We start from the raw sequence: 24,987 nt of genomic DNA on the forward strand, positions 1-24,987 counted from the left end.
AGCAGGACATGCATAGGAAGAGTGGACTCGCACTTTTCCCCCTGTTCTGGGCACGCCTGGCCCAGCTCTGTAGGACAGCAGCAGCTTCCTCTCACTGGGACTTTTAATTTGGGAAGCAGGACATGCATAGGAAGAGTGGACTGGCACTTTTCCCCCTGTTCTGGGCACGCCTGGCCCAGCTCTGTAGGACAGCGGCAGCTTCCTCTCACTGGGACTTTTAATTTGGGAAGCAGGACATGCATAGGAAGAGTGGACTCGCACTTTTCCCCCTGTTCTGGGCACGCCTGGCCCAGCTCTGTAGGACAGCGGCAGCTTCCTCTCACTGGGACTTTTAATTTGGGAAGCAGGACATGCATAGGAAGAGTGGACTCGCACTTTTCCCCTGTTCTGGGCACGCCTGGCCCAGCTCTGTAGGACAGCGGCAGCTTCCTCTCACTGGGACTTTTAATTTGGGAAGCAGGACATGCATAGGAAGAGTGGACTGGCACTTTTCCCCCTGTTCTGGGCACGCCTGGCCCAGCTCTGTAGGACAGCAGCAGCTTCCTCTCACTGGGACTTTTAATTTGGGAAGCAGGACATGCATAGGAAGAGTGGACTGGCACTTTTCCCCCTGTTCTGGGCACGCCTGGCCCAGCTCTGTAGGACAGCGGCAGCTTCCTCTCACTGGGACTTTTAATTTGGGAAGCAGGACATGCATAGGAAGAGTGGACTCGCACTTTTCCCCTGTTCTGGGCACGCCTGGCCCAGCTCTGTAGGACAGCAGCAGCTTCCTCTCACTGGGACTTTTAATTTGGGAAGCAGGACATGCATAGGAAGAGTGGACTGGCACTTTTCCCCTGTTCTGGGCACGCCTGGCCCAGCTCTGTAGGACAGCAGCAGCTTCCTCTCACTGGGACTTTTAATTTGGGAAGCAGGACATGCATAGGAAGAGTGGACTCGCACTTTTCCCCTGTTCTGGGCACGCCTGGCCCAGCTCTGTAGGACAGCAGCAGCTTCCTCTCACTGGGACTTTTAATTTGGGAAGCAGGACATGCATAGGAAGAGTGGACTGGCACTTTTCCCCTGTTCTGGGCACGCCTGGCCCAGCTCTGTAGGACAGCAGCAGCTTCCTCTCACTGGGACTTTTAATTTGGGAAGCAGGACATGCATAGGAAGAGTGGACTGGCACTTTTCCCCCTGTTCTGGGCACGCCTGGCCCAGCTCTGTAGGACAGCGGCAGCTTCCTCTCACTGGGACTTTTAATTTGGGAAGCAGGACATGCATAGGAAGAGTGGACTCGCACTTTTCCCCTGTTCTGGGCACGCCTGGCCCAGCTCTGTAGGACAGCAGCAGCTTCCTCTCACTGGGACTTTTAATTTGGGAAGCAGGACATGCATAGGAAGAGTGGACTGGCACTTTTCCCCTGTTCTGGGCACGCCTGGCCCAGCTCTGTAGGACAGTGGCAGCTTCCTCTCACTGGGACTTTTAATTTGGGAAGCAGGACATGCATAGGAAGAGTGGACTCGCACTTTTCCCCTGTTCTGGGCACGCCTGGCCCAGCTCTGTAGGACAGCAGCAGCTTCCTCTCACTGGGACTTTTAATTTGGGAAGCAGGACATGCATAGGAAGAGTGGACTCGCACTTTTCCCCTGTTCTGGGCACGCCTGGCCCAGCTCTGTAGGACAGCAGCAGCTTCCTCTCACTGGGACTTTTAATTTGGGAAGCAGGACATGCATAGGAAGAGTGGACTGGCACTTTTCCCCTGTTCTGGGCACGCCTGGCCCAGCTCTGTAGGACAGCAGCAGCTTCCTCTCACTGGGACTTTTAATTTGGGAAGCAGGACATGCATAGGAAGAGTGGACTGGCACTTTTCCCCCTGTTCTGGGCACGCCTGGCCCAGCTCTGTAGGACAGCGGCAGCTTCCTCTCACTGGGACTTTTAATTTGGGAAGCAGGACATGCATAGGAAGAGTGGACTCGCACTTTTCCCCTGTTCTGGGCACGCCTGGCCCAGCTCTGTAGGACAGCGGCAGCTTCCTCTCACTGGGACTTTTAATTTGGGAAGCAGGACATGCATAGGAAGAGTGGACTCGCACTTTTCCCCCTGTTCTGGGCACGCCTGGCCCAGCTCTGTAGGACAGCAGCAGCTTCCTCTCACTGGGACTTTTAATTTGGGAAGCAGGACATGCATAGGAAGAGTGGACTCGCACTTTTCCCCTGTTCTGGGCACGCCTGGCCCAGCTCTGTAGGACAGCGGCAGCTTCCTCTCACTGGGACTTTTAATTTGGGAAGCAGGACATGCATAGGAAGAGTGGACTCGCACTTTTCCCCCTGTTCTGGGCACGCCTGGCCCAGCTCTGTAGGACAGCAGCAGCTTCCTCTCACTGGGACTTTTAATTTGGGAAGCAGGACATGCATAGGAAGAGTGGACTGGCACTTTCCCCCTGTTCTGGGCACGCCTGGCCCAGCTCTGTAGGACAGCAGCAGCTTCCTCTCACTGGGACTTTTAATTTGGGAAGCAGGACATGCATAGGAAGAGTGGACTCGCACTTTTCCCCCTGTTCTGGGCACGCCTGGCCCAGCTCTGTAGGACAGCGGCAGCTTCCTCTCACTGGGACTTTTAATTTGGGAAGCAGGACATGCATAGGAAGAGTGGACTGGCACTTTTCCCCCTGTTGTGGGCACGCCTGGCCCAGCTCTGTAGGACAGCGGCAGCTTCCTCTCACTGGGACTTTTAATTTGGGAAGCAGGACATGCATAGGAAGAGTGGACTGGCACTTTTCCCCTGTTCTGGGCACGCCTGGCCCAGCTCTGTAGGACAGCGGCAGCTTCCTCTCACTGGGACTTTTAATTTGGGAAGCAGGACATGCATAGGAAGAGTGGACTGGCACTTTCCCCCTGTTCTGGGCACGCCTGGCCCAGCTCTGTAGGACAGCAGCAGCTTCCTCTCACTGGGACTTTTAATTTGGGAAGCAGGACATGCATAGGAAGAGTGGACTGGCACTTTCCCCCTGTTCTGGGCACGCCTGGCCCAGCTCTGTAGGACAGCAGCAGCTTCCTCTCACTGGGACTTTTAATTTGGGAAGCAGGACATGCATAGGAAGAGTGGACTGGCACTTTTCCCCCTGTTCTGGGCACGCCTGGCCCAGCTCTGTAGGACAGCGGCAGCTTCCTCTCACTGGGACTTTTAATTTGGGAAGCAGGACATGCATAGGAAGAGTGGACTGGCACTTTTCCCCCTGTTCTGGGCACGCCTGGCCCAGCTCTGTAGGACAGCGGCAGCTTCCTCTCACTGGGACTTTTAATTTGGGAAGCAGGACATGCATAGGAAGAGTGGACTGGCACTTTTCCCCCTGTTCTGGGCACGCCTGGCCCAGCAGCCCTGCCGATAGGGCCACCCTCCACCCTGCCTGGCGCTGGAACTCCTGAGAGCCCCCCGCATCCAAGGATGTCTCTGGAGGCAGGAAGCCCCAGTCCTAGGGAGGGTAGAGGGCAGGCTCACCCTGACCACAGGGTGCACAGCTGATTGTGGTCTCAGTCCCCATCTCCAGCTCTGATGTCCGGACTTGCTCAAGCAGGAAGTCCTGTTTGTTCTGCACATCCCACCCAACCTCTCCAGTGCCGAATTCCAGGGGCAGCCAGGACATGAACTGGAGGGGCAAGCTCCCTCCAACGCGGGCTTCAGCATTCACAACTAGAGGAAGACGAAGAGGATGGCAACAGGAAATCGAATGCTGCCAAATACTTACAGGTTTATTCTGAGCCAACAGAGTGACTGCGACCTGGGGACACACAGTCTCCTGAGGTCCCAAGAAGGTGCACCTGAGGCAGTCGGGTTGCAGTTTGGTTTCATACATTTCAGGCTGACAGAATCTCATGTGAACCGTAAGTCAGTGCATGGAGGGTGTGCACTGCTTCAGCCTGGAAAAGTGGGTATCTCCAAGCGGGGGCTTACAAGTCATAGGTGGGTTTTGGGGATTCTTTAGCTGGCAGTTGGTTGAAAGAGCTAAGCTTTGTCTAAAGACTTGAGGTCAGTGGGAAGGAACACTGAAGTTAAGATGAAGTCATCTGCATCCACCACGTCATGCTGTACCAGAGTCAGGGTGGAAAGTCAACCACATCATACAGATTAATTAAAAAAAAAATCTGTTCAAGGGGATTTAATGGTTTGTAGGGCACAACTCCCCAGGCCCTTTAGAAAGGAATTTGGGAAAGAGGAAAAAAAAAGGTGAGAGCTCAGTACTCGGAACAGGAAGGTGAAGCCCTTCTAGTCCCAGTGCTAACCCTACCCAGGTAGCACCATAACAGGCAGGGGCTCTGGTCCCAGCACTAACCCTACCCAGGCATCACCATAACAGGTAGGGGGCTTTGGGTCCTTGAGTAAGAAGATCAAAACTTGAGAGGGGTTAGAGCTCCAGCCAGGGATCCTGCAGGGCAGGGTCCAGTAGCCTCCTGACCAGCCTGTGGGTCTTCCTGGTGTTAAGGCTCAGCCCATGAAAACCAAGGAGCCCTCAGGCAAGTCAGACCCCAGCTGACCCTCACCAGCCCTGCCCAGAGACTAGGACCATCATCAAACCAGGGCAAAATTGGTTTTGAAAGCACTAGTTTACAACCACTGGTTCTTCTTAAAGACCACAACATCATCTCTCACTCCCTGTTCCTCTCTGTCACTCTGAAGTCCCTGTCTCTCTCCATGTCCTGTCAGGCCCCTGTCTGGCTCCCATCACTGTATGTGTGAACCCGTATTTCACTCCTTTCTCTCCTTGGCCAAGGCCATGTGAGTTCAGCATTAAGGGGTCTGAATGGCTGCATCTCGCCCAACCCTGGGAAGAGAAAACTAGCTCAGAGGAGTCAGCTGTGTGAGGTTTGAAGAATTTATCAGTCCCAGGGAGACATGAATTTGGGGCTGCAGTCCTGCACTCCCACACATGCACCCTTGCCTGGGGCAGCTGTTTAAAGGCATTGTGCCCCTGCCCTGCTGCCTCACCCATCATCTTCATGTTCCTGGAATTTGTGATACAAAGAACAAAGCATAGCCAATCAATCAGTAGCTTATGGTATTTAATTTAGATTTTGGGTAAACAACTCAGAAACTGCCTCTTTTTTTTTTTTAAGGTCCTTTTGTAACTGCAGCTTTTTGGAGTGTATATTCAGGGCAATTTAAATCTGTATCCCCGGGTTGCAACTCTCAAGCTTGGCTCAAACAAAGTCTCCACATGTATTAATTTAGCCTCAGATTCTTCCTTTAGGTTGACATTCCTATGGCAACAGCCACTGGACCCTGCCTGGAGCACAGCATGCCCTTTATATGTTTTATTCTAAATGCAAGTGTGCACGGATAATTTGTAAACCAAAAATAAAATTCTAAAGCCCCCCAGCCATCTGAATGGACTTCCTCCTCAGCCAGGGATTTCTTAAAATTTAACCTGAAAGACTGGTTCAGGCCATGATAGGAAATAAGTGTTGGGTGTGCCTCATGATGCCTCTCTGGCATTAACATCAACATATTCTTTAAGTCTGAAAACAAACATTTTACAACCTATTCTCTAAAGCCTACTACCTTAAGGCTTCCTCTGCAAATAAGAACTGTGGTCTCCACAATCCTTTATCTTAACCCAGACATTCCTTTCTATTGATCCCAGGTCTTTATATACACTCAACCAATTGTCAACAAGAAAATTTTTCAGTCTACTTCTAATCTGGAAGTCCTTGCTTGTAGTTGTCCCACCTTTCTGAACCAAACCAATGTATTTCTTAAATGTATTTGATTGAAGTCTGCTGTCTTCCTAAAGTGTATAAAATCAAGCTGTGCCCTAACCACCTTGGGAACATGTTTCTAGGACCTCCCGAGGGCGGTGTCACAGGCCATGGCCATTCATATTTGACTGAGAATAAATTTCTTCAAATATTTTACAGAGTTTGACTCTTTTCATTAACAAATTGTTGTACAGTTGAACAGAAATCAGCTTAAACTAATACTTGTGCTTCTAGCTTTCTTACCTGGTGTATTTCTAATGAATTATTTTCTTTAAAAATAATCTTGTTATAGCCCAGTGGGTTATTCTTGACTGATGCACAAAACAGCCAATACAATGAGACAGCATGTGTTACAGCAGAGAAAGAGTTTAATTATTGCAAGGCAACTGAGCAGGAGGAGACAGGAGGTACTTTTCAAATCTTCCTTATGAAGAATTCAGAGGCTAGGATTTTAAAGGATAGTCTTCCGGCAAGGGGTTAGACAATGGGAACTGCTGATTGGCTGGGTTGGGGATGAAACCACAGGGGTGATAGGGATGTCCAAACTGTCTTTGTGCTCTGAATCGTTTCCTGGTTGGGGGGGTCACTGGTCCAAGTGGCATCAGTTGTTCTACTAAAATATAAGGTCTGAAAAACTATCTCAAACACCAGTCTTAGTCTTTACAATAGTGATGTTATCTATGGAGGCAATTAGGGAAGTTACAAGTCTTATGAGCACCAGCTACATGACTCCTGAGCAGTAAGCAAGTTAAGAAACAATGACTAGTTATGATTTACCTATGCAGAGCTCTTAGCAGAATTCAGGTTCCTACCACAATGCTAACCTTGTGGCCCTTCATTAATTATACAAAGGCAGTTTTGGTCCTTGAACAAGAACAGGGGTAGCTTTGGGAAGGGGCTGTTATCATCCTTGCTTTAAGGTTAAACTAGAAGCTAAATTCCTGTGTTCTGAGCTGGGCCTGTGCCCAGGCATGAACAAGGCCATCAGCTTGTGAGGTTAGAAGCAAGGTGGGGTCACTTATGCTACTTTTCTCACCTTCATAAGTTTCACAAAGGCAGTTTCAGTCTCTCTTGTATGTTAAGTGCCATCCAGATGCCAGGGACTGTGCTGGGTACTGTTTATGCATGATTGCATTAATCACCACCAAGCCCCAGGACACAAACAGTGTAATTACCTTCAGTTTGTTCATCGTGAACCTGGGGATGAGTGTAAGTATCTTGCTTAGGGTAAAAGAATTATTAAACATAGAATCAAAGTTAAGCTTAAGTCATCTAAGACTCACAGCCCGCCCAGGCTCAGGTCTTGTCAACATTTGGAAATGATTATTTCTAAAATAATGAATTATAAGCTTTTTGGAGGGGATAACAACTTATAATGTCTGTTTAAAATTTTAATGTTTTTAAATTAAAATTTTATAAACAACAACAAAAGAAGTATGCCCATTTAGGAAATCGGATGGCCTCAGTCTCCTGGCCTTGCTATCACCCCCCCAGTGCCTTCTACATTTCAGACATTGCATCCCCCTCCCTGCGATGCCTATTAGGATAATTATGGTTTTTTAATGTGTGGTGATTCCTCAGAAAATGGTCAGGGGAACTGACTCTGCAGAGGGAGAAGGTGGTTCTTCCTGGAAAGCGGAACTTGGATGTAACCACATTAGTTCCTGCTGGGCTTTGGTCGAATTAATTTCAAGCCTTTGAAAGAGGAGGGAAAGTGTCACTGTGTGAATGGAGGTCTGGAAGGAGGTTGCCCTGCAACACAGCTTGCCCCGATACACGTGCAAATGTGTTCTCTGCCTCTTAGAAAAGCTACCAGATTGCCCATTTATTTATGATTATCCATTGTACTAATCTGTATGGTGCTTCTTGCAGGAGTTTGGCAATTTATAAATCACAGATTTTTCCAGCAAGGACAGCCGGATGCTGTTTCTGCACATGTGCTTTGAAATATAAGCACACTGTCATTTGCTGGCATTGATGACTTGAGTGAAGGCTGAGGTTTTGGCTCAGAGAAACATGATGAATGTTGACGATGGAAAGGGAACAGTGATTGTAAGAAGTCTATTTTATTAAATGAGAAAATAGAAGTGTAAATGCCAACATGCTTCCAAAAAAAGATATATGAAGTTTTTTCAGCTGTCATTATTGGAAAAGAAAAAGAAAAGAAAGAAAAGCCCAACAGGCTATAATGACTAGCCTTACGAAAGCAAATGATATTTTGAGTGAATAGGGACATGATTGACTTGAATTGATGCCTGATTTTCATGTTTTTGTTAATTATTTGTAAGACAAAATTATCAGAAAATGTCTTCCCAATTCCTTAATATGTTTATTCCTACTTTTACTCTCAATATCAAGTTTGGAATGGGTAAAATTCTACACCATCTCCCCACGAAATTGACCTTGTTCGGCCGATAAGTGTAGGAGTTATTTATCTTTGTCAGAACTTGGAAATTTCCAAATAAAATATTTATACAAGCAGAAGAAAGCAGGCCCACAGTTCTCTTAATTTCCTTGTTTTCCCTCTCTTAGTGTATGTCTACCTGACTCTGGAGCTACGGTAAAGTGCAAGCACTGTGCTTTGTGAAAGCAGCTTTCCAAAGAGCAGGGATTCATCTTTAAAATATGTCTCTGGAGGCACAGGAAGAGGCAAGACTGATAGATTCAGAGTTGTTTGCACAAGTCAGATGTTTTTTAACCTTCTGGCAAGATAATAATGCTGAGGGTATAAATAACATTTATGAAGATATAATTCCATTATTTGCTGAAGGGGAAACGGTGGTTTAAAAACCTGAGTCAAAGGAACACCAAGGAAAGTATCCCAGGAGGTAAATCACGGAGTAACCTGTTCACGATTACAGAGAACACTGCCAAGGAAGGTAGATCTTTGAATCTAACCCGACGAATCTGAACAGGTAGAAGAAAGAGGGCACTTGACCCAACAACTTCCAAATAAGATTGGAGGCACACGGGATGTGAACGGAGTCCTCTGTTGTCATCTACCCACTCGGCCGCATCCAGCCGGGCTCAACAGCCTGGGTTTGTTTCTCTGTCACCAGTTGTTTCTGCCATTCTGGGGGAAAAGCACCTGCTCATTTACACTGTTTACCATTGAAGCCTTCATCCCACTGCTCTGAAGTGTCTCTGACCTGGTTGTTCCAGGAACGCCAACCCCCATGGTGGAGAATGCTCACCCCACCCTCTCTGCCAGCCCACGAGGCGCTTTCCTCCTCATTGACCTGCCCTCTGGCATGCCCTCACCCTCCCTGGACTCTTGCAGCCCCTCCTGAGGGAAAGTCCTGTACTCAGTCTTTCCCTCATGTCTCATGATGGACAGCTGTCCTCACCCCATGGACATGGTTCGGTGTCTTCCAGCCGACCTGGAGGTCCCTGGCCCTGCAGAGTGGTACCAGCAGAGTCCCCTCTCTGACAGTCCCTGCACAGCCCCACAGGGTGACCATCGCTTTCTAACTCACTACACTCGTGCCTTGGTTCCTGCCTTTTTCTGGAACCTCTTCCACCCACACCATGCCCAACTGTAAAAATCATTTACTCCTCCAAGGTGCAATGAAAATGACGAGTTGCAACCAAAGCCATCTTCTGCTCAATCCTCCTGGCACCTTTAGCTTCCTGACTGTGTTTGGGGTACCGGCCTCTCCTCTCCTCCCCTCTGCTCCTTTCAAATGGGATGCCAGCCCCTCTGCCTCCTGAGCTCCTTTGGACTAGGATGCAGGCCCCTCTGCCCCCTGAGCTCCTTTGGACTGGGATGCAGGCCCCTCTGCCCATTGAGCTCCTGGGCACAGTGAGGCTGGGCCTGTGCAGGCCTCCTCCTAGCAGCTGGGCCCCGTGTCAGGTTTGAGCACACAGTTCAGCAACCCTGCGAGTGTAAACTCAGTAGGTCAGGGTGGAGCCTGAGATTCTGCCTGTCCAACAGCCTCCCAGGAAATGCTGTCTCTGCAGGACCACTCCCCATAAAGCTTATGAGTTTATTCTTGGGCATTTTGTAATATGGCGACCTCATAGTTTCAAGGTTCTGAAATCTTCAGTGAGTGAAACAGCTGGTCCCACTGGGCTAAGGATCAGATTCTACTTCAAGTGCCAGTCTTGCAACACATTGGCCTTGTCACCTTGCACAGGTTATTTAAATCTCTGTTTTCTCATTTGAAAAATGAGGACTGTATCACCTACATTTTATTTTATTTTACCTTAGCTTTGAGGCTAAGGATGCCTTATTAATTTGACAAAGATGGTTTGGTGAAAATAGCAATGTCTGCTGGGTATTGATGTTGTACCGGAAACCTTACCATTCTCATCAGCCACCTCATTCAGTCACCACAGCAGTTCAGGGGGCTCAGTGGGGTCCTGCCTCACAAAGACATCACCTCCCGGCTGCACAGTTGCCCAGCGTGTTCCTGTGCTGTGTCTGGCTCACCCCCACCCAGAAATCCACATGGTGCATTTTCGGAAAACTTTCCAGCCATTATGCAAAACCACTGGGAGCTTGAAACTGGCTGTGGCGGGAGCACATATACCTCAGCAGTGAGCAAAGGCTGCACATCAGGCCCCCTCCATCCCCAGGACAGCCAGGTCACCTGTACACCACCTCCCGCCCACAGAAACAGTGGGCGGAAGGAGCACGACCTGAGCTCCAGGGTGTGTTCATATGTGAGGGCTACAGCCTCATCGTATAAACATAAGGAAGTGCCTGGGGCCCTGGCTTGGACTCTCTGCAGCACCGCAAGTGTGGAATTGAGTTCCGGGGTGTGGCTGTTCCTCGTGATTGTTGCATTTCATCCTATACTTCTTGGGCTTATTCTAAGACAAACTACAAAGCATCCTCGCTTATTCCAGGTATTCATTCATGCATTGAACAACCATCTCTTTCAAGTCTTGCTTTGAGGGCCAAGTCCCCACAGCCACCTCCTTGAATTCACGGGGCCGTCAGTGACAGAGGAGTGGCCTGCGGTGAAAGGCAGCCTGAGTTCAGATTGCTGTGGCCCAGTGGAAACGGTTCTCTTCAATGCTGATTGACTTCACCTTTGCCCCCTTTCCCATAGGGCCATTAGGTAATGATTGGGAAAACTAAGAACCCAGGATGGCTGCTCATCGGAGGGGCCAGTCATCTCACAGACACTTTGTGACAAATGTCCAGCAGTTTGTGCACTGAGACGGAAAAATGGACCGTGCCGTAAGGAGGTGTGATTTCCACTGGAGGAGATTGATTGAGGACATTTGGTAATATTAGCATTTATGTGTTGATTGAAAGTGTCACTCTGGTGATAGATGGGGCATGCCTGCGCGTAAAGAGTGGGAAAGAAAAAACGTTTTCTCCGGTGATGGGTGACCTCACCGTTCACATTTTGACAAGCACAGGATAGAGCCTCATGGCGTCCTAAAAGTTTTACCTAATTAGGGAAAAATTCAGGGTGTTAAAGCACTCAGCTGTTGAAAACTGTGCCAAGATGTGGGTCATATTTAAAATCATTGTTTCAGCCACCGTTAAATATTAAAAAACTTTATAAAAATCTAAGGCATTAGGACAGATATATTGCAGAGGAAAATGACAGGGCTGTAGGAGTTAGGTGTGGGGGAAGTGGAAGAACGCCGGGCTGGAGCTCAGGGACTGGGTGTTCCGTGGCAGAGCGGCTGCCTGAGTTCCCTGAGCCTCATCTGTAAAGTGGATACGTTTCCATGGGGGAAGTGGAAGACCCCGGGCTGGAGCTCAGGGACTGGGTGTTCCGTGGCAGAGCGGCTGCCTGAGTTCCCTGAGCCTCATCTGTAAAGTGGATACGTTTCCATGGGGGAAGTGGAAGAACGCCGGGCTGGAGCTCAGGGACTGGGTGTTCCGTGGCAGAGCGGCTGCCTGAGTTCCCTGAGCCTCCGCTTTCTCATCTGTAAAGTGGGTACGTTTCCATGGGGGAAGTGGAAGACCCCGCGCTGGAGCTCAGGGACTGGCTGTTCCGAGGCAGAGCGGCTGCCTGAGTTCCCTGAGCCTCCGCTTTCTCATCTGTAAAGTGGGTACGTTTCCATGGGGGAAGTGGAAGACCCCGCGCTGGAGCTCAGGGACTGGCTGTTCCGAGGCAGAGCGGCTGACTGAGTTCCCTGAGCCTCCGCGTTCTCATCTGTAAAGTGGGTACGTTTCCACCTGAAGGGTGTCGCACATTGCGAATGCGATCGGCTGGAGTGACGTGTGAGAAGAGAATACTTTGGGACTTTACAGCAGGTTAAAATCTTATTTTTTCAGGGTTGGTAAATACCTCTGGGTAGACGTTTCACAGGCAACGGGGTCTAAGAGCCGGGCGGAAGTTCTCCCTGTGTCACACAAGGTCGGTTTGACTTCAGGCTTCTGTGGCCTCGATTTCTTCATGTGTGAAACAGGGAATGTATCGTCAGCTTGAAGTGTTGTTACAAGACTAAGTAAAATAACATGAGCAGGGCCCTGGCCAAGCCCTACAACACATTTCACACCGTGGTTCTTATTCATCTCTCAACGTTAGTGCCATTTATACCTTCCACTGTGTGACCTGGGAAATCACGTAATCTTTCTGGTTTTCGTATTTGTTTATGTGTGGTAACAAGCACATGACATGAGATTTACTCTCTTAAGTATTTAGGTGAAGAGTTCAGCCGTGTTAACGACATCCACGTTGCTGTGCAGCTGATCCCTGCGCCCCTTTATCTCACATGACCGAAACTGCACCCGTGGAACGGCAACTCCCGTGTCCCCAGCTCCTGCCCCTGGCAGCCCCATGCTACTCCCCCTTCTGAGAGATTGACCCTGTTAGATTCCATATATAAGTGAGATAATGCAGTGTTTGTTCTGCTGTGACTGGCTTATGTCACTTATCACCGTGTCTTCCAGCTTCATCCATGTTGCTGTCAACAATAACAGTGTATCCTTTTTTAAGGCTGAATAACGTACCTGCATACACCATACTTCTTTATCCATTCTTGCTGTTGACTGATGTTTAGGCTGTTTCCCTATCCTGGCTATTGTGAGTAGTGCTGTAATGAACAGGGGAGTGCAGGTCTCTCTTGGAGATACTGATTCCATTTTCCTCGGATGCATTCCTAGAGAAGGGATTGCTAAGTCATCTCGTGGTTGTCTTTTAATTTTTTTGAGAAACCCCCATACTATTCATAGTAGCTGCACCAATTTACCTTTCCACCCACAATGTGCAAGGGTTGCAGCTTCTCCACACCGTTGTCAACACGGTATTTTCTATGTGGATGTGTGTTTTTACAGCAGTTATCCTGATGGATGTGAGGTAGTGTCTCAGTGTGGTTTTGATTTGCATTTCCCTAATGCTTGGTGATGTGAATGCCTTTTCATGTTTGCTGGCCACTTGAATGTCATCTTTAGAGAAATGTCTATTCAAGTCCCTTGCGTATTTTGAAAATCAGGTTTTTTGTTTTTTACTATTGAGTTGTAGGAGTTATTTATACATTTTGGACATTAACCCCTGATTAGATATGGTTTGTAGGTATTTTCTCCTGTACCATAGGTTGCATTTACACTCTTCTGATTGTTTCTTCTGTTGTGCAGAAGCTTTTCAGTTGACGTGGACCCAAATGTCTACTTTTGCTTTTGTTGCCTGTGGTTATGGTGTCATATCTGTGAAAATCAGTGCCAAGATCAATGTGATGAATCTTTTCCACTGTTTTCTTCTAGAAATTTTATAGTTTCAGGTCTTATGTTTAAGTCGTTAATCTATTTTGAGTTGATTTTTCTGTATGGTGTAAGATAAAGGTCCAATTTTATTCATTTGCTTCTGAATATCCAGTTTTCACAGCACTATTTATTGAGAGACTGACCTTTCCCCACTGTATAGCGTTAGCCCTTTGTGGAAGATCACCTGACAATGTAGGTATAAGTATATTTCTGGGCTCTCTATTCTGTTCCATTGGTTTATATGTGTCTTTAGTACCATACCATTGATTACTGTGGCTTTGTAATATGTTTTAGAGTAAGGAAGTGAGATGCCTCCAACTTTGTTCTTTCTCAACATTGCCCTAGCTATTCAGGATTTTTTGTGGTTTCATATAAATTTTAGGATTTTTTCTATGTCTGTAAAAATGCCATTGAGATTTTGATGGATGTTGCATTGAATCTATAGATCACTTTGGGTAGTATACACATTTTAACAATATTAAGACTTACAATTCATTAACGTGGTTTTTTTTATTTACTTGTGTCTTTAATTTCTTGCAATAGTGCATTATAGTTTTCAGTGTACAAGTCTTTTTGCCTCCTTGGTTAAGTTTATTCTTAAGTATTTTACTTGTTTTGATGCTATTGTAAGTGGGTTTTTTTTTTTCTTAATGTCTATTTTGGATCGTCTGTTGTTAGTGCGTAGAAATGCAACTTTATTGTGTGTATCAATTTTGTCTTCTGAAATTTTGCTGAATTTTTGTTTATTAGTTCTAATTTTTTAGTGGAATCTTTAGGGTTATCTACATATAAGATTATGTTTCTACAGAGATAGTTTTATGTCTTCATTTTCCAATTTGAATGTCCTTTATTTCTTTTCTTGACCAATTCCTCTGGCTAGGATGTCTAGCGCTGTGTTGAACAGAAGGGGCAAAAGTGGGCATAATCTTAGAGAAAAAGATTTCAGCCTCTCACCATAGAGTATGATGTTAGTCATGGACTTTTGACATAGTGCCTTTGTTACGTTCGGGTAATTTTCTTCTATTCCTACTTTTTATTACTTTTATAATGAAAGACTGCTGAGTTTTGTTGAATGCTTTTCATGAGTCTTAAAATCATGTGATTTGTACCCCTATGTCCCAGGGATAAATTCCACATATTTGTAGAATATGATCCTTTTCATGTGCTATTGAATTCAGTTGACTAGTAGTGCCTTTGATTGCTTTATTATAAGGGCAACTGTGGCCTTACATAATGAGTTTGGAAGTGTTCTGTCCTCTTCAGTTTTTGAAAGAATTTGACAAAGATTGATGTTAATTTTTCTTTAATGTTTGGTAGAATTCCCCAGTGGAGCCATCTCTTCCTCATTTTTCTTTTGTTGGAATGTTTTTGATTACTGATTCACTCTCCTTCCTAGTTAGTGGTATGCTTAGATTGTCGGTTTCTTCATGATTGACTGGTAGGTTGTATGTTTCTAGGAATTTATCCAATTTTTTTCTAGGTGGTCTAATTTGTTGGTATATAATTGTTCACAGTAGTCTCATAATTGTTTTTTTCTTCTGTGGCATCATTTATGTCTTCTCTCATTTCTGACTTTGAGTTTTCTCTATTTTTTTCTTAGTTATATTAGTGAGCTTGAATTTCTATTTTAAATAAAATACCATGGTGTAAACAACAGACATTTATTTCTTATACTTTTGGACTCTGTGAAATCAAAGATCAAGGTGCTGGTAGATTCAGTTCCTGAGGATGGATTTCTTTCTCTATTGCAGATGTTCACTTTTTTTCTGTGCCCTCACATGCAGAGACAGTGAGCACTCAGGTCTCCTTTCCTCTACTTACAAAGACTCTAATTCCAATAGCGGAACCAATCCTCATGCCCTCATCTAAGTCTAATTATCTCCCAAAGGTCTTACTCCAAGTATGATTTTATTGTAGTTTAGGACATCAGCATATGAACTTTGGGTGAACAAAACATTCAGTCCGTAACATTAGTCTAGTTAAATATTGCTGATCTTTTCAAAAACCAACTCTTAGTTTTATTGAGTTTTGCTATTGTTTTTATGTTCTCTCTTTCATTTAGTTCTGCTCCAATCTTTATTTTTTTTTTGTACTAACTTTGACCTTAGTTTGATTTTCTTATCTAGTTTCTTAAGGCATAAAGTTATTTGGTTTATTTGAAATCTTTTTTAACATAGGTGTTTACCACCATAAACTTCCCTCTTGGCACTGTTTTTGCTGCATCCCACAAATTTATTTATGCTATGTTTTTGTTTTGGTTTGTCTCAAGATATTTTCTAGTATCCCTCTTGATTTCTTCTTTGATCCATTCGTTCCCCAAGAGTGTGTTGTTTAATTTCCACATTTTTGTGCTTTTTCCAATTTTCCTTCTGCTATTGATTTCTAGCTTCATGCTTTTGTAGTTGAAGAAGATACTAGGTATGATGTCAGTCTTCTTATATTTGTTAATATGTGGCTTGAAGTCTATGGCCTGTCCTGGAGAATGCTCCTGTACACATTTGAGAAGCTTGTGTTTTCTACTGCTGTTAGATGGAATGTTCTGTATACCTGTTCAGTCTATAGTGTTGTTCAAACTTGTTTTCTTATTGTTCTTCTATCTGGTTGATCTAAGACTTATTAAAAGGGTGATACTGAACTCTGCTCCTATTGTTGTGTTGTTGTCTACTTCTACCTTCAGTTTTGTCAATGTTTGTTTCATACACAGGTTGAATATGCCTTATCCCAAATGCTTTGGAACAGAAGTATTTCATTTTCAGACTTTTTTTTGGATTTTTGAATATTTGTATATCCATAATGACATATCTTGGAGATGGGACCCAAATCTAAACAAAAAATATATTTGTTTCATATATACCAAATACACATTGCCTGAAGATAATTATATATAGTATTTTTAAAATTTTGTATATGAAACATAGTTTGTGTTCACCGAACTATCAGAAATCAAAGGTGTCAGGTGTGAGTTTTCTACTTGAGGTGTCATATCAGTGCTCAAAAAGATTTAGATCTTGAATCATTTCAAGATTTCAGATTTTTTGATTAGGGATGCTCAACCTTTATTTAGGTGTTCTGATGTTGGGTGCATATTTATTTACAGTTGTTCTATCTTCCTGGTGGATTGATTCTGTTTTCATTATAAAATATTTTTCTTTGTCTCTTGTAACAATTTCTATTTTGTCTAAGTACAGCCACCCTGCCCTTTTGTTTGCATGAGATATTTTATTCCATCTCTTCACTTTTGGCCTATGTGTGTCTTGAAATCTAAAGTGAGTCTCTTGTACACAACATATAGTTAGGTCTCAATGTTTTTGTTGTTGTCTATTTCACCACTCTAATTTCTGTGGATAGAGAAGCTGAGACTCAAAAATAATATTATTTATCAGCACATATGATGGCTTTTTACATGCTGGGAAAGATGACTGCTTTTACACAACATCAATATCCTTAAATTGCGAATTTCTATTTAGGTTCTAGTCCACCAATAAACCCACTGCCATTTTTGGTTATGTGCTTCCATAAACTAATCTTTATTTTATTTCTTTGCATGTTTTTTCTCTTTCATTAGAATGCTGCCTTTCTGTAGTAATATTGAGAAACATTTTACTTTGTCCATATCTTCTTTCCATTTAACAATATTACCAAAAACAAGCAAACAAAGAAACTAAAGCTCAATTTATTCAACCAAAAATGGTTATTTATCTTCATTTCTTTACATTTAAGGGCACTGAACAAATTCTATCCCATTTTTCCCATAGGAAAAAAAAAAGTACATTAAATGATTGAAAGAAGTTATCTGTATTCATTTTCTATCGATGCTTAACAAATTAACACAAATATAGTAGATTAGAGACACACATTTATCCTCTTACAGTTCTCTAAGAACTTGTCTCTTAGGGCTAAAATCAAGGTGTTGGCTGCTTTCTCCTGCAGCCTCTGGGGGACAGTCTGTTTTCTTGGCTTTCCCAGCATCTGGAGGCTTTGCCCTTGTGCTCTGAGCTCACCTGTGCCAGAAAGCTCCAGCCACCGCAGCTTTGGAAGCATGCCTCCCTCTCTGCCCTCAGAGTGGAGGATCTTGTATGAAGCCTGGATCACCAGCCCAGCCTGTTCAGGAGAGCTCTCTCTGGGGTGTGTTCCTTCCAGCAGCACAGCTTAGAAGGAAGGTATAGGGTGGAAGTTCAAAAGGATCAAGATATTTTTATTTCCAGAAGGTTATTGGACTCTTTGTGCACTGGCACCTGCCACAACAAGTGAGGGGAAGCTCCTTGCCTTTTCTATTTCCCTTATATTTGTGTGACTAAAAGAGGCTACTCTAGTGTTTTTAATTTCCTTTTCTTAAAAACACAAACAAACAAAAAAAAAGTCTGTCCCTAGGGGATTTTCTTTCCTTCTCACTCAGACAGAAGCAGCAAACATACGGTGTCTGATTTCACCCCCCTACATCCAGCATCATACACAGATGAGCAAACCCTTCACTCAGGAAGGGGATGAGTGATTTTTCTTTCAATATTTGTAGAGATGGAGTCTCTAAATAAGAGAGCAGTGTCTGCTTGGCCTACCATTGGAGCCTGATTCTGCATAACGATTCCAGTCACCTGCGTGTCCCAGTGGTTTTTTGTCTTACTTAAGAGAGTTCTTTTGGAGATCCCACCCACAGGCTCTGACCTTATGGAATATTCAAAGCTGATGCAGTCCCCAGCGCTGTCTCTTCCATTCCACTAGCATCCATCAACTCAGTCAGCTCAGACACAGCCCTGAGCAGTAAACTGCGTCCTTGGGGCCTTTGGTCCAAGCCTCAGTGCTTTTTCTAGCTTTGCCTTCTGTGCTTCAGCCACTGGATTCAGATTCCATTGTCCCATCTGTGGGGGCCAACGTGAAGCTTTAAATAAACATGTAAACATCTTTTATTTGTTACAGCCTGTGACATTATGATTACATCATTCTCCACCAACAATAAGAAAATTTACATTACAATGATTTGTCCCATTGAGTGTGTAGCACGAAATTCTCATGGAATTTAATAAATGGTCATCAAGTTGACCCATTTAAAAAAAAAAACTCACAGAATTTTGAAAACCACAGCATGGCAAATCATTATTGGAGACAGACAGTGCAATTAACACAGTGAGGTGGCTGAGAAGTTCCACAATAGCAAAAGTATCCCGCCTTCTTCAATCTACTTTTCTCCAAATCTATGCAAACAAAGAGTGTTTAAAAAATATAACTTTTTAATATCAAACACATTTTGGGAAATGCTGCTGTGTTGATACCATCACATTTCAGTAAAACTTCCATGAAAGTCACCGACGCTGAGCATTTCAGTAGAACTTCCACGAAGGTCACCGATGCTGAGCATTTCAGTAGAACTTCCATGAAAGTCACCGACGCTGAGCATTTCAGTAGAACTTCTGTGAAGGTCACCGATGCTGAGCATTTCAGTAGAACTTCCATGAAGGTCACCGATGCTGAGCATTTCAGTAGAACTTCCATGAAGGTCACCGATGCTGAGCATTTCAGTAGAACTTCCATGAAAGTCACGGATGCTGAGCATTTCAGTAGAACTTCCATGAAAGTCACCAACGCTGAGCATTTCAGTAGAACTTCCATGAAGGTCACCAACGCTGAGCATTTCAGTAGAACTTCCATGAAGGTCACCAACGCTGAGCATTTCAGTAGAACTTCCATGAAAGTCACTGATGCTGAGCATTTCAGTAGAACTTCCATGAAAGTCATTGATGCTGAGCATTTCAGTAGAACTTCCATGAGAGTCACTGAGGCTGAGCATTTCAGTAGAACTTCCATGAAAGTCACTGATGCTGAGCATTTCAGTAGAACTTCCACGAAGGTCACCGACCCTGAGCATTTCAGTAGAACTTCCATGAGATACACCGATGCTGAGCATTTCAGTAGAACTTCCACGAAGGTCACCAACACTGAGTGTTTCAGTAGAACTTCCGTGAAAGTCACCGACGCTAAGCATTTCAATAGAACTTCCATGAAGGTCACCGACACTGAGCATTTCAGTAGAACTTCCGTGAAAGTCACCGACGCTGAGCATTTCAATAGAACTTCTGTGAAGGTCACCAACGCTGAGCATTTCAGTAGAACTTCCACAAAGGTCACTAACGCTGAGCATTTCAGTAGAACTTCCATGAAGGTCACCGATGCTGAGCATTTCAGTAGAACTTCCACGAAGGTCACCGACGCTGAGCATTTCAGTAGAACTTCCGTGAAAGTCACCAATGCTGAGCATTTCAATAGAACTTCCATGAAGGTCACCGACACTGAGCATTTCAGTAGAGCTTCCATGAAGGTCACCGACACTGAGCATTTCAGTAGAACTTCCATGAAAGTCACCAACGCTGAGCATTTCAGTAGAACTTCCGTGAAGGTCACCGACGCTGAGCATTTCAGTAGAACTTCCGTGAAAGTCACCGACGCTGAGCATTTCAATAGAACTTCCACGAAGGTCACCGACGCTGAGCATTTCAATAGAACTTCCGTGAAAGTCACCGATGCTGAGCATTTCAGTAGAACTTCCATGGAAGTTACCAATGCTGAGCATTTCAGTAGAACTTCCATGAAAGTCACCAACGCTGAGCATTTCAGTAGAACTTCCACGAAGGTCACCGATGCTGAGCATTTCAGTAGAACTTCCACGAAAATGACTGACACTGAGCATTTCAGTAGAATTTCCATGGAAGTCACCAACGCTGAGCATTTCAGTAGAACTTCCATGAAAGTCACCGATGCTGAGCATTTCCATAGAACTTCCATGAAAGTGACCGGCGCTGAGATGGAATGACTCCTGTGAAACCCTCACAAAATGGACCCCCCCCATGAAAGAGGAACCATGAATATTTACCTGATAACAAGAAGTACCACAAAAGACCCTGGCAACACCACAAGCTGCACAAAGACCACTGCAACCTTGTGCAAAGACAAGTCTTCTATGAGGACACAAGCTCCCCTTGCTATTGATCCTTGTAGCCAAGGATAACGGTTTCAAAACAACTTCTGTAACCTCCTCACTTTGCCTTTAAGCTTTCCTGAATCCCAGCCTCTTTGGATATCCCTATAATCTCTTATAGCACATATGTCCCAGCTTGCAATTGCCTACATAGTCCCAAATAAACTTTGGGAGAGCCTCTCTCTGTCATTGTATTAGGCTGACACTCCCTAACCCAACATATTGGACTGTTCATTCCACACTGTTTCCTGCACAGAGAGCCAGCAGGTGCCCTTTCCTCTGCAGGTGGAAACACATCAGCCCATGACCGACATGTGAACACAGGTGAGGAGTGCAGCGAGGGATCCATACAGGGTGTCCCCAGCTTAGAACTCAACACAAGTATTTTGTTCAAACAAAATGTCAAAATGTGATTTCAATCAGCTCTAGTTAAAAATTCATAATTCAAGATAGCCTTGCTGGTAATACTTGGTTAGAAAATTAACCAGACCAGAGATATCATGACTCAGCTTTTGGCTGAATTGAAGATGTTCAGTGAAATGCCCACAGGATGCTTGTTTATTCAGTATCTGGATCATGACATAATGGATTGAGTATTGTTTCATAAGCTTTAATTTCATTCCTGGCTTTCAGTACTACTCATTGAGTTTTAGTGTGGAATTTAGTGGTGTGACCGATTTCACTGCTAGCTAGTAATTTCTTTTATTTTCTTTTTTTTTGAGACAGAGTTTCACTCTTGTTGCCCAGGCTGGAGTGCAATGGCACAATCTCGGCTCACTGCAACTTCCGCCTCCCGGGTTCAAGTGATTCTTGTGCCTCAGCCTCCCAAGTAGCTGTGATTACAGGCACCTGCCACCATGCCCAGTTAATTTTTAGTATTTTTTTTTTTTTTTGGTAGGGACAGCATTTCACCATGTTGGCCAGGCTGGTGTCAAACTCCTAACTTCAGGTGATCCATCTACCTCGGCCTCCCAAAGTGCTGGGATTACAGGCGTGATCCACCATACCCAGCCATTGCTAGTACTTTCAAAGATTATGCAGTGTAACTTCAACTTATGGTACCAAAAACTATTGATGTTGTTTTGAATATGTGCATTATTACTGGTAGCTGTTTGGCTTCTTATTTCTGTGCATTGTGCTATTATTGGATACATCTTGGGAACTTGTAAAGCAATTTTCAGTTTCTATGTATAAAACCAAAACCCTGGCCGGGCGCGGTGGCTCACGCCTGTAATCCCAGCACTTTGGGAGGCCGGTGCTGGCAGATCACGAGGTCAGGAAATCGAGACCATCCTGGCTAACACATGAAACCCTGTCTCCACTAAAAATACAAAAAAAAATTAGCCAGGCATGGTGGTGGGCGCCTGTAGTCCCAGCTACTTGGGAGGCCGAGATGGGCGGATCACGAGGTCAGGAGGTTGAGACCATCCTGGCTAACATGGTGAAACACCATCTCTACTAAAAATACCAAAAAAAAAAAAAAAAAAAAAAATTAGCTGGGTGTGGTCACAGGCACCTATAGTCCCAGCTACTCAGGAGGCTGAGGCAGGAGAATGGCGTGAACCCAGGAGGCGGAGCTTGCAGTGAGTGGAGGTTGTGCCACTGCACTCCAGCCTGGGCGACAGAGTGAGATTCCGTCTCAAAAAAAATAAAATTAACCCAAAACCCTGAAGCATGAATGATATGGTCATTATGGCTCTTTTTCTCCAAAAGTCCCTTTAAAGCTCAGTAATTGCTATTTGGAAACACATACATACATTGAATTACAATATGTGCTAAGTTTGCAAGAACCTTGTGTTTCTTCTAGAAAGCTACTTGGTTTTTTTTTTTTCCTCTAACAGGGATAAGTCAAAATGAATAAAAGATTTTGAGTACAGTCTCACGCTTTGGGTATGATTGGCGAATCCAGCTTGAATTAAAGTTTAACACAAGGGCTGGGCAGGCCCTGGGTTCCACTCATGACCAGAGTGAGGGATGCTGGTTACCAAGTGTAATGACGCTTTATGAAACTACCTAAAGACTATGAAGCTTTGGCAGGAGAATACACCTCAACATCTTGAACATTTTGCTCATCACAATTTGAAATGATCAAAATAATTAGTGTTGTAGCTGTCAATGTTAAGAGTCATTCACATGCATAGGAAGGAACTTAATTCAAATTGGAATAAAGGAAAGATGAAGCCTTTGGTTGCAGTCACTAGGAGGTTGGGGGCAGCTCCCAGCATGTTGGTACCCAATGTCCCCCAGTGTTCTTTGTGTATCCCTGCATGGGGTGTTCCTCTGTGTTGAAGTCCTCTTCCGGCAGGCTGGCTCGCTGGCTCTCCACTTGGCATTAGTGGTATTAGAACAAGCTTCAGGTATTCACTTCTCACAGCTGGTCACACCAATGTAGGCATCTTGGCCTCCCTCTCCCTGTCATCTGTACCAAGCTGCCACTGGGCTCTGGCTGGTCCAGCTGGGTCCTGTACCTATTGCAAGAGAGAAGCAGTTTCTAAAAGAAAGGCATGCAGAGAGGACCAGGGAGAGGCCGAGGGGACTTCATGCTGTCAGGGAAGTTTGAAGTCATTTTTGAGATGTCACGTCTTTGAGTTATAAAGAAAAGCAGCTCCGAAAAGCTGAGATGGATGTTATTGGGGAGGGAGGGCTTTACCCGGTGATGTGTGACCTCCAATCCTGCCTGGGGCCCCATTCTCCACCCCCTCATTCTGCCATGGAATGAAAATGACCAAGATCCTGCCTTTCGAGAGCTTAAAGGAGCATGTCTGTGGAACTGACAGGCCTTAGCGTTGCTCTTCTTCTTGAAAATGATTTATCTTTCTTTCTGGTGTCATCTCAGCAGTTTAGAATATGCTAGAATTTTGGTGAGATTTAGAAAATAGGATGTCAATCAATTAGCAGTCACCTCAAAATAAATTTTATTTTCTTCATTTTATTGAATTTTGTTATGCAAACAAAGAAGAAAGACAACATTAGAAGAATGCACTTAGACCTTCTTTTCTACCAATAGAATGGGGGTGGCAGGACGGCAAGATTCGTATTTTACCATCAAAAACAGGAAGATGATTTTTCCCCAGTAACTGAATAACTTCTAAAAACAGTTTCTTTAACTTCTGTGTCAGCTTTGGGGTTCACTGTGGACTTTTCTGTTGATTTGACACAGGGACTTTATGTGGGGCAGTTTGTGGAGAGAAGATGAACCTTTTGTGGGTCATTTTTGCTTTTACAGGACATTTAGTGTCTGTAACATGCGGAGGTAAGGATCCAGGAGTTTGTTTCAGTTTTTTTATTGGGAGGGGGTAGGGGTATAACCGTCTCTCTAGGAAACTCTCCCTGGGGCACCCTTTCCTGCTCTCCCGTAGCCATGGGGACAGGGTGGGTGAACAAGGCCCCTCCTCGCTTCCCGCCGTGCTGTGCACACTGCCTATTCTGCGCCACACAGCAGGCGCTGTTCCTCCCAAGCGTGGCCTTGGCATGAAGCCCACACGCACCCACACAGCAGGCGCTGTTCCTCCCAAGCGTGGCCTTGGCATGAAGCCCACATGCACCCACACAGCAGGCACTGTTCCTCCCAAGGGCGGCCTTGGCATGAAGCCCACACGCACCCATACAAAAGGCACGGCGGCCTGAGACACAATGGCTAGTTCTGCCAACTCACACAGCACAGGGGTCTGCTGCGACGGGATCCACATCACAAAATCACCACAGGTGCTGGGCAGGTGGGGAAGACTGAGTCCTGGCCCAGATTACGGGGTCTGACTTAATCAAGACCCATCACTGAAGATGCAAAATAAAGGAAGTGAGCATTAGCCCCCGTTAGGTGCAAGAAAACAAGTAAGTTACATTCTCAGCGTTGTAATAAAAAATACCCAGTATATTCATGTTTATAACCAATTTGGATCATGATTTGGATCATGTTACTCTGCCTTTTACTTTAAACCATACATATTTCCTGTCTATTATTATTTTTTTGGAGGGACTTTCTTGGAGTTCACAAGGTCCAAACTTTGTTAAATATTTTTGTAACGTGTTCTTCCAACAATTATAATAAACACTTGATCTGATTTTCTCCTCCAGGAACTCGAGTTCCAGGACCTGAGGGCTGTCCTGCACTGCATCCACTCCTTCATAGCAGCCAAGGTGGCCTCCGTGGACCCCGGCTTCATGGACAGTCAGAGTCTTGCCAGAAAATACATGTACAGCAGCTAAAGGTTGTTTCTGTTGAGTGCTGAAAAATTAAATTATTTTCGTAAGAAATGATTCTTTCCTGCAGAATATTGCAACTTTGTGTTGTTTTATGATGAGCCTATAGTTGTGATACCAATAAAACATGTCACTAGTTTCCAAAGACGGGTCCTCCTTGTTAAATCTGACATGGGGGATGCCTGGTCCCCTCTTCCCATGAGTCTCCCCCCAACGAGGAGCCCCAGCGTCCCCCACACAAGTCTGTGGCTCAGACTCCAGTCCACCTGATGCAGTTCACGCCCCAGCCCGCATCCCAGCAGCATGAGAACCATGTGGGCATTGCACATGCCACTTCCCACGTTGGCAAAACCCAGATTTATTTTCATAAAATATGTCATCGAAAATTCTGAGCGAGTGCCACGTTTCTCCTC

General features: G+C 45.0%; 1 protein-coding gene across 5 annotated transcripts in view, besides 1 other annotated feature; it reads left to right on the forward strand.

The window, feature by feature from the left end:
* SNTG2 (syntrophin gamma 2) overlaps positions 1 to 24,719 on the forward strand; it is a 416,765-nt gene extending 392,046 nt beyond the window's left edge. For all 5 annotated transcript variants that reach the window (NM_018968.4, XM_017004361.2, XM_017004363.2 and 2 more), the window contains one exon: positions 24,449 to 24,719. In NM_018968.4, coding sequence (NP_061841.2) covers positions 24,449 to 24,580 — 132 coding nt within the window. In that variant the 3' untranslated portion in view covers positions 24,581 to 24,719. The remainder of the gene's footprint in view (positions 1 to 24,448) is intronic.
* Positions 23,853 to 24,406: an enhancer, noted in NCBI's record as "H3K4me1 hESC enhancer chr2:1370519-1371072 (GRCh37/hg19 assembly coordinates)". NCBI's record gives its function as "activates a minimal SCP1, AML or CMV promoter by ChIP-STARR-seq in primed H9 embryonic stem cells {active_cell/tissue: H9 hESC(primed)}" and the evidence as "EXISTENCE:reporter gene assay evidence [ECO:0000049][PMID:30033119]".

The sequence above is a fragment of the Homo sapiens genome, chromosome 2, assembly GCF_000001405.40.
Source record: "Homo sapiens chromosome 2, GRCh38.p14 Primary Assembly".
Classification (NCBI taxonomy): Eukaryota; Metazoa; Chordata; class Mammalia; order Primates; family Hominidae; genus Homo; species Homo sapiens.